At 39.0% G+C, this 10,033-nt stretch overlaps 1 annotated feature.

The window, feature by feature from the left end:
* Positions 962–1,162: a silencer, noted in NCBI's record as "peak5023 fragment used in MPRA reporter construct". NCBI's record gives its function as "represses an SCP1 promoter by STARR-seq MPRAs in K562 erythroleukemia cells {active_cell/tissue: K562}" and the evidence as "EXISTENCE:reporter gene assay evidence [ECO:0000049][PMID:32103011]".

Here is a 10,033-nt window from a genome sequence, read left to right on the forward strand (position 1 = left end):
GTATTTATTTCACACAGAAAATCAATTGGCAGTCAAACCCTAGACTTTCATATTACAGCTGTGTGCCTCAGAAAAATACTTCCCCTCACATTAGGCAGGACGGCTATATTCAATAACATTATACACTAAAATTTGTTTGCTTGCTGAAAGTAACCTACAGGGCATTCCCAGAAAGAAGGTATAATACTTTCTCCATATTTTCAGTTAAAGCCTAACCACTGTTCTTTAGCCTTCTTACATAATGTGTCATTCAGTCTTTCCTTTGACCCTATCAAGAAATGATTATCTTTAAAGCAAAAATATTAATTGGCATGTAGTAATCATGCATATTTAGGGGGTACATAGTGATGTTTCTATACATATAAAATATGGTAATCAGATCAAGGTAATTAGCATATTCATCATCTTGAGCATTTATCATTTACTTGTGCTGAGAACATTCAATATCTTCCTTCTAGCTATTTGAAACTATCTAATATATCATTGTTAACTATAGTCACCCTACAGTAGTATTGGATACTAGAGTTTATTCCCCTATCTAGCAATAATTTTGCATTCCTTGATGCAAAAATGAATTTTTTAGATGATGATATCATAGCTCATGGAGGCAAAGTATGCAAAAGTAACCTTGCATTTTGCTCAAAAGTTTATGTTGTAAAGTTTAAATGGGAAACACCTATGTAGACTGTTTCATTAGCATAGGGCACAGCACACAGTGTTACTGTCAGCCTCCATGCAGACATTCAATGTTCAACAGCTTCCAGTTTGGCTACTCTCATCCCAGTGTAGGCACTATTTAATGAGCCAGTTACAAGTCATGCCTCTGCTCAAATCCTTTCATGTCTTTCTGTTCTACTCAGACTTAAACCCAGTGTCTTCACGATGGCCTGCTGGGTCTTATGAAATCTGATCCCAACCACATCTCCAAGTTTATTTCTTACATGCTATTCCTCCTTCTCTCCAGACACACCATATGTTCTCCTTTTTGAATGTGTCAAGGTCACCCCCACCTCAAGTCCTCTGCACTCATGTTCCTTCTGCCTTGGATGCCTTTAGCCCCAGACATCCAAATGACACATTTCCTCAATTTCTTCATGTCTCTCATCACATACCTCATCAGAAAGATCTTTTCTGATCACCTAATCTAAGTGTTACCAGAAAGGGGTCCCAGTTCAGACCCCAAGAGAGGGCTCTTGGATCTTGAGCAAGAATTCAGGGTGAGGTCCACAAAGTGAAAGTAAGTTTATTAAGAAAATAAAAGAATAAAGAACGGCTACTACACAGGCAGAGCAGCAGCTTGGGCCACTCAGCTGCTTATACTTATTGGTACTTCTTGATCACATGCTAAACACCAAGTGGATTATTCATGAGTTTTCTGGGAATGGGCAATTCCTGGAACTAAGGGTTCCTCTCCTTTTCAGACCATATAGGGTAACTTCCTGACATTGCATTGGCATTTGTAAACTGTCATGGTGCTGGGGGGAGTGTCTTTTAGCATACTAATGCATTATAATTAGCATATAATGATCAGTGAGGATGACCAGAGGTCACTCTTGTCACCACCTTGGTTTTGGTGGATTTTGACCGGCTTCTTTATTGCAACCTGCTTTATCAGCAAGGTCTTTATGACCTGTATCACATGCCTACCTCCTATCTCATCCTGTGACTTAGCATGCCTTAATCTCCTGGGAATGCAGCCTCGTAGTTCTCAGCCTTATTTTACCCAGCCCCTATCAAAATGGAGTTGCCATGGTTCAAACACCTCTGACATAATGAATCACCTCATTATTTTCTGTTCCCTTGCTTAACTTCATGTTTCCTTATAGCATTAATAATACTCAACATAGTAAGTACATTTATTTGCTATATTGGATAGAACCATTGCACCTCTATCCACTTATTGTTGCTTCTCTGTTCACACATATCAGAAGAAGTACAATAAACAACTATACATGCTTGCATAATAGATGTGAAAGAAAATAGAACCTCGGGACCCCAAGCTCACTACGCCAAAGGGAAAGTTAAACGTGGGGGCTGAGTCATGTAATACTTTCTCCCTTTTGTTCCCAGATAGCTGTAACTTCACAACCCTGTGTCATAGCCTCATCCATTAGTCAGGCTCCCACAATGATGGAAGGCCACATATCTGCCAGATGGCCTCCTTTACAAATTGCTCACAAGGAAATATCTTGTGAGCCCCTAAATCTTTCAGGATACATATTCCCCCTATAAACTTGCCCTAAAATCGAGTTCTGTTAAATCTCACCATGACAATGTCAATTGCCAACTTATCTTCACAAGTAAGGGACAAGGACAACACTAGAAATCATCCTTCCACCTACCTCAGGACAAATGCATAGTTGACTTTTTCCTCTACGCCCTCTTTTCACAAGTTTACTTTATCTTATTAAAATGTAGATTTACTGAGTGCCAAAGGAATACATAATTTACTTTTTCCTGTACTCCTTTTCACATGTAAAATGTAGATTCACTGAACGCTAATTAGAGCCTCACAAAAATGTAAAGATTTAAATCACTGCCTACCCTCCTTCCACCCCCCACCCCGCTCCGCTGCTTACTCTTTCTCCTTTAAATGACGCAGTTCTCAAAACCCTCTTTGGAAAAAGCACAGGTCATAGCTACTCCAGTAACTTGTGTTTTTTGCCTCTAGGCATGCCCTCAACTTTGTCTCAACAAACCTCTATCAGTTGAGACTTGCTTCAGTCACTTTTTGATTAACATAGGATAAGTCACTCTTTATTTCTTTTATTTATTTATTTTATTTTATTATTATTATTATTATTTGAGACAGAGTCTCACTCTGTCGCCAGGCTGGAGTGCAGTGGCGCAATCTCGGCTCACTGCAACCTCCACTTCCCGGGTTCAAGCGATTCTCCTACCTCAGCCTCCAGAGGAGCTGGGACTACAGACGCACGCCACCATGCCCAGCTAATTTTTTTTTTTTTGTATTTTTAGTAGAGGTGGGGTTTCACCATGTTGGCCAGATGGTCTCGATCTCTTGTCCTCATGATCTGCCTGCCTCGGCCTCCCAAAGTGCTGGGATCACAGGTGTGAGCCACCGCGCCCCGCCCCTATTTCTTTTCTTTTCTTTTCTTTTTTTTTTTTTTTTAAAGAAAAGCCTTGTTTCCCATGATTGCTTCCAAATGTATTTGCTATATTTCTGTGCTGTCAGATCTTCTCTCATTGGAATGTAGTGAAGTGGCATCATTGTCTAGGGTAAATACCTGGGGTTTGTCATCTCACTCCAAGAAGGTTAACGACAGGGACACATATGAGTGGGATAAGGAGTGGAAAGTTTAATAGGCAAAAGAAAGGAGAGAGGAGAGCCTCTCTCTCTCTTGCAAGAGAGAGGCTTCTGAAAGGGAAAAGGCCAGCCTGCTGCGGACGACAGGTTTTATAGGCAGGCTTGAGGAGGGGTATCTGATGTACATATGGCCCACAGATTCGTTCCACCAGGTGTGACGTTTACACAGTGCCCAGGGAAGGCTAGTTTGCCCCACCCTAATCTTATAAGGCAAATGGGCTTTCCACCTGGCCAGTGTCGTCGTCTCTACTCCTTACTGTACACGTGGCTGGCAAAGAGAAGAGAAGATGGAGTCGCCATTTTGAACATGTCTAGTCAGAGGTAGTATTTTCCTATTGGCGCAACTGCCTACATTTGCCTGTGCAAGCTTCCAGCTTGCTTGTCTTTGTCTGCAGATCGATTTTACAGGCTGCTCTTTGATATGAGGACTGCTTTTTATTAAAACGAAAACCTTACCAAGGACTCCTGTACCCTCACTATCTGCCCAAGTAATCTCTTCTTAACTCCTGTATCCGTAGGTGTCATGAGAGACAGTACTCTATTTTGTTCACTGTTGGATCTTCAACATGTACAACAGGCTTGACACAAAGCTCAATACAGCTATCTAGGTGGAATAAATGCCTGTGGCACATACCTGCCATCTAGAGATTACATAGACCATCATGGTTTGTATTTAGTTGGAGGCAGGTGACTAAGTTCTGGCCAAATATGTAAACAGAAGTGATCTACAAAACCCAATTCTCTCCATCTCTTTTTTTCTTTCCCCTACAGGCTGGAACTTGGACATTACAGATGAGCCAGCTCTGACCAAATGGATGGTGAAAATGCAGCAAAACCTTGTTCTTGAATAACTTCATGAAGCAGATTCGCTTACCCACTCTGGACCATAAGTTTTTCTTGAATTTGGGATCTCTTATACAGAAGCTTATCCAGAACCCTGCCTAATACAGAGCCTAAATTAAGATAGCTTTACTTGGCATGAAGAAAAGAAGAATCATTTTAGAGTTTTTTAGGAAATCAAAATAATAAGCCTAGGTGACTGATGGGCTCTGTCAAGAATGGAAGATGAGGTAACAGAAATGACCCTGAAGTTTTTAACTTAGAGAATGGGGACGAGGGTAATGCCATTAATCAAGTGACAAAGACGTTTCTATCAGGCAGGAGGAGTGGAAAGGTGAGTCATGTTATGAATATGTTAAAGTGGAGCTGCTCTGTAACATCAAGGTGAAGATTTCCAATGAATTTTTCATTCCCTGCTTCCACTGGAACAGCTACAAATGGATTTGTGATGTCTACGTTTACCCTTAAGGTAGGATTGGTTTTGTGCCTAAAAATAAGTGTGTAGTTCATAGGAAAGGTGGAAAGTTCTCTCATGCAATCAGAAATAAAAGATCAAAGATGGATGGATAGGTAGAGAGACAGACAATGTAAATATCTTACATTATGTGCACAGACAGACAATATATCTACACTAATTGCAAATAATATATATATCTTGCCTTTTTCTTAGACCAAATACTCATATTAATTTACTCTGTAACTTGAATAAAGGAAGCACATTTTAGGAACTGCAAGCATTCTTAAATGTAACTTAACATTGATCCCTTTGATTACCGAGGATGTATAGTTCCCCCAAAAATGTTTCTAAAAATCAGTATCTTCTCTTTTTAAACTTTTACTAGAGAAATACCACAACATATGTAAACAACTTTTTTAAAAGTAGCAGTTTTTCCTTGACAATATTTTAAAAGTAGTAAAATATTTCGTGCACCATGAATTTCACCCATAAATATGCACTCGCACACGCACGTGTGCTCACACACAAGCATAGTCACACATGGTGTCTCCTGAATTAACATCAGTTGTTATCGGAAACCTCAGGCCCAAAGCAAAATGTTATACAGATCTTTGAAAAAACAAATGCTGTTATAGCTCCCAAAAGTGTTAGAATTCAGCATAATGTAGCTGAGTTAATTATAGCCCACTAGGTAAAGAACTTAATGACTCACGTATGTTGAGGTTAATGTTCAAGTCTTTTGTTCACTACCACTCTGCATTTGAGAGCAAGAAGATTGAGGTGGTGAGAGAAGAGAAGGACTCAAGGTGGAGAAAGCAAAGCCCGACCACAGTAGATTTCCCCAGGGTACCAAGATAATCAACTGCTGAAAAGACAAGCTCCAGTTCACACATGGGAGCTAGGTTGTCTACAACTAAGTCACACCACATTTTCTATGAAAAGGGACTAGCTTTTCACTCCGCAAAGGAAGCACAGGAAAGCCTTTAAGAGTCCTATTAGAACTAGAATTCACTTTCAGTGTTGCTAAGAGTGGGGCAATTGAGAAAGACAATGTGGCATTCATCTTGTGCTGCTCCTCCAATGAAGAAAAAATAAATTGGGGCTGGGTGAGGAGCCTCACACCTGTAATCCCAGCACCTTGGGAAGTTGAGGCGGGCAGATCACGAGGTCAGGAGTTCAAGACCAGCCTGGCCAATATGGTGAAACCCTGTCTCTACTAAAAATACAAAAATTAGCCGGGCGTGGTGCACATGCCTGTAGTCCCAGCTACTTGGGAGGGTGAGGCAGGAGAATCACTTGAACCCTGCAGGCGGAGGTTGCAGTGAGCCAAGATCACGCCGCTGCACTCCAGCCTAGGCGACAGAGCAACTCTATCAAATAAATAAATAAATAAATAAATAAATAAATAAATAAATAAATTGGATTGTGGGTGAAGAAATGTCACTGTTTTAAGGTGATTTTCTAAAGAAATACAAAAGAATGACATTCAAACATGGGTCACTGTTTTCAAGACCCAGAGCCTGCTTTTGGAAACTGGCACAATAAAGCACAAATGAATTTGTGGATACCTAACATGTCACACGCAATACTCACACGAGAAATTTTCTTCTCCATCATCTTATCCCATCAATAAATTGCTTTGTTCACTCTTTCAAATGTGGAAATCTTTTTAGTCATCATTTCTGTATCGTATTCTATTTGACCTCCTATCTTACATCATATCCTGCACATTGAGGCATGCTAGGTTTGAGATTTGAAATACTAAAATCATCTATTTTAAGTAAGACATGTACTGTCCCTGTTAAAGTATAATTATAAAGTGTTTAATTTTTTTTAAAAAATTAGAAGTCTGTGAAGAGGTTTCTCTAGGACTGTTTCACTAATTATATAAACAAATAGATATGTGTTTTTAAATGCATCCTTTATGCTGCAGGAAATCAAATGGCTAGTTTTAAAAATAACTCTCCATTTTAAAATAAAACACACAGAGAATGATGACAAGTTATTTCCTATTCCTTTCAGGCTTATTTCAAAATTTAGCATCAGTCAATCGTTACTTATTCAATGAGAGTCCCACAACCACCATATTGATAAATATCAGGGGTATATTCATATGGAGAAGGATATCAGACATCAAGGCTTAGTGACTTAAACATTATAGAAGAAAGAGCACATGGTGGATATTTTCCATTGTCATGTGGAGTATAAACATCCAGGCCCTCCCAAAAGCACCACATGCCAGTGGATACATATTTGTGAGTTAAGGGTGCCATCAGAGCTGCTGGTTGTTTCATAGTTCTTTGGAGCCCAAACCTGCATAGATAAGCTGGAGCATTTCTATACACAGATTAATCTGAATGTTGGGGACCAGCTGACATGTCTCAGGCCTCCTCATCTATCTTGGGGTTATATAATATACAATAAGACTGCAGAGTAGAGTACATACACTCTGGTATAGATCCTTTCTTTTTTATCACCCTCAGCCTTCCCAGGCTAACACAGCCTCTTACAGAGACTTACCTGAGCTAGAAGGTGCAGCATTAGAACACAGCTCAGTCATGGCATGGACTGGAAGTTGTGTTAGTGGAGCTGTGTGACCAGGTTGAGAGCTACACTTGCAAGAATGTGCTGCAGAAGATACCATCTGGATAGATGTAGGAGCCATGTACAAATTTAGGGTCTACCTCTTATTTAGCCATATGACTTAGGGAAGCTTTCTTAACCTTTCTGAGACTCAGTTTTATAATTTGCTGAGGATTATGATAGTATTTATTTCTCAATGTTGTGAGAATGAGATGATTTAATCTATGTAGTAAGCCTGGTCCAGAATATATTATGTATGCCTAAAAAGTTGGTTCCCTTTTTCATTTAGTTTCTCAACTACATTAAAGGTGAAGTCACCACATTTTTTCCTCAAAATACTCAATATCTAATTGTGGAGAGAAGAGGCTTATTCTAATGATGATACTAACTTTAGTTGACGTCACTATTTAGAAGGTTGCCATATGCCAAACAGTGACCTGAATATGATATACAGAATCATTCATTTAATCTTCAAAAAACTAACAGGTGGTTTCTGTCATTTCAGTCTTTTACTAATAAAATTTATATTGCTTATTTTTGCTACAGCAAAAAACAGCTCCTGGATTTGGGCAGCTTTTAAAAAACAATAGAGCATTTCTTCCTCACATTAGCTTCTGACACATTTGCTCTATCTTTTTCAAAGGAAAACATTGAAGATGAGACCCTATTTTGGACATGCCATTCTCTTGGTGAAAGAATGGAGGAAGAGAAACAGAGAAAAAGTTGAGCTACTCAGGTCTTCTTAAAATACCTTGAACACTCATGATATTGGCAAAGCAAGTCTTATGGTTAACCTTGAAAATAAGGCAGGGAAACATACTCTACCTACAGGGAAAACATAGCAAAATCACACTTTAGAGGCAGAGAGGTTTGCAATATACCATGAGACTAAATAATCTCCAAAGCCACAACCTAATAAATGGGAAGCCTACTTTAGAATACCAATGCAGAGTCCCTACTCTTAACTAATAATTCCAAGCATCATATGAATCATGATAAATTAGTCCTAGAGACAGGAATTGATAAAGAGTCAAAAAAACTACTTAACGAGATCTTTACTTGTTGTGTCACTACTTTCATAAAAGTAGAAGGATGAGAACAGGAAATTTCATTTGGACTAGAACATTGTGAAAGGGAGTAATGGGAGGATTTGGCAGGAATTGAAATCCATCCTAAGTGATCATTCTATACCCTTTAGTCTCCAGTAAGTTATTGAAGAAAACTTCATATTAGAGAGGTTTTATTAGCATCAGTCTGTATCTCAATCAAAAGCATCCATAAATTACAGCAGCTGGAGAAGCACTGTGGTAATTCTAAGTGACACATGGAAAGAAACAATTTGTGTAGCACAAGAATGCCTCAATTAGAGTTTTTGAGAGTTGGTGAATTTCAGCCATTCACCTGATTTCTACAAGAGTTACTTCATTTGTGTTCCTTGGTTGATATATGTATTGTTATTCCCTTAATTTGTTAAGAGGAAACTCGGTTATTTAAATCATTAAAGTTTGTTTTTCTTTAATTGCTAAAGCCTTAAGAACACATTTCAATTTTTGAAATCTGGCATGCACTGGTAAACTTCATATGTGTTCTATTTTATTGGAATAAATCATTTTAACTCTTACTGGGACTAAGAAGAAAGGTCAACATTGGTCGTATTCAACTGAAACAGAAACTTACATTTAAGAAATAACTGGAGTGAGAACAACTGGGGCTTCAAACACAGAAGCATCCCTTTGACCTTAAAGCAGGTACTGCACACTCTATAGTAAATCTGGATTCTTTTCTGAAAGATAATGAAAATGGATGTTAATTTTTTTTTTTCTCTCCATTCAAAAACCATGGACTGGGTATAAATGTGCTTGAGACAGAGTACTAGGGAGGAGGGGCCAAGACACACATGATCCCGGCCTTCCTGGTGTTTTCAGTCCAGGAGCAGAACTTACAGAGAGAATTATCTCCCAGTGTATTGGAAGTTGCGTTCATGAGCCATAACTAAGTTTCTTTAATTAGTTTCTTAACTTGGGACACTTCATTTTCCTTAAGGAGTGTTTATTTCACAGCTCAGCTCTTACTTGTACACTTTTGTACTAGATCCCTAAGTCTTCATGGGCTTTCCCAGATTTTTGGAGTCTTGGAATGACCTCAAAGAGTGCCAAAGCAATTAGTAGATACTCAGAATGCACCAATATTTTTTATAAATATAATAGCATTCCAGAGAGTCTAGCTCCAGTGTTCTTGCTATAATCATTATTTAGCACAGGGCTGTCCAATCTTTTGGCTTCCCTGAGCCACACTGTAAGAACAATTGTCTTGGGCCATATGAAAAATACACTAACACTAACAATAGCTTGTGAGCTTAAAAAAAATTACGATAAGAACTTGGAAGAAAATAAGCAAACATCCGTGCTAGAAAATAAAGCATTGGAGGGGTAAAGGGTAATTGTATAGGAAAGACAAAGAAAGCCTATCTGAGAAGGGGGCATTTTTCAGTTGAGACCCAGAGATGAGAAAGTGTCATTTGTGTGAAGAACCTTCCCGGGGGATAGATCACCAGAGAGAAGGCTCTGAGATGGGTGATGGCTTGGCATGTTCTGGGAGCTTAAAAAGAGCCAGAGTTACTAATTAGAGTAAACTAAGAGAGAGAGTAGCCTGAGGCGAGTTGAGGGTGCCAGGTAGTGGAGAGTCATATGAGCCAGGGTGAGAAGTGTGGACGGTGTATTCTCGGGTGTTAGCAAGCCACGTAGTGGTTCTAAGCAATGAATTCATAGGTTGGGTAAACAATAACTATCATTTTATAGCATTTACTAAGTACAAGGAATTGTTCCAAA

This window comes from Homo sapiens, chromosome 4 (assembly GCF_000001405.40).
Source record: "Homo sapiens chromosome 4, GRCh38.p14 Primary Assembly".
Lineage (NCBI taxonomy): Eukaryota > Metazoa > Chordata > Mammalia > Primates > Hominidae > Homo > Homo sapiens.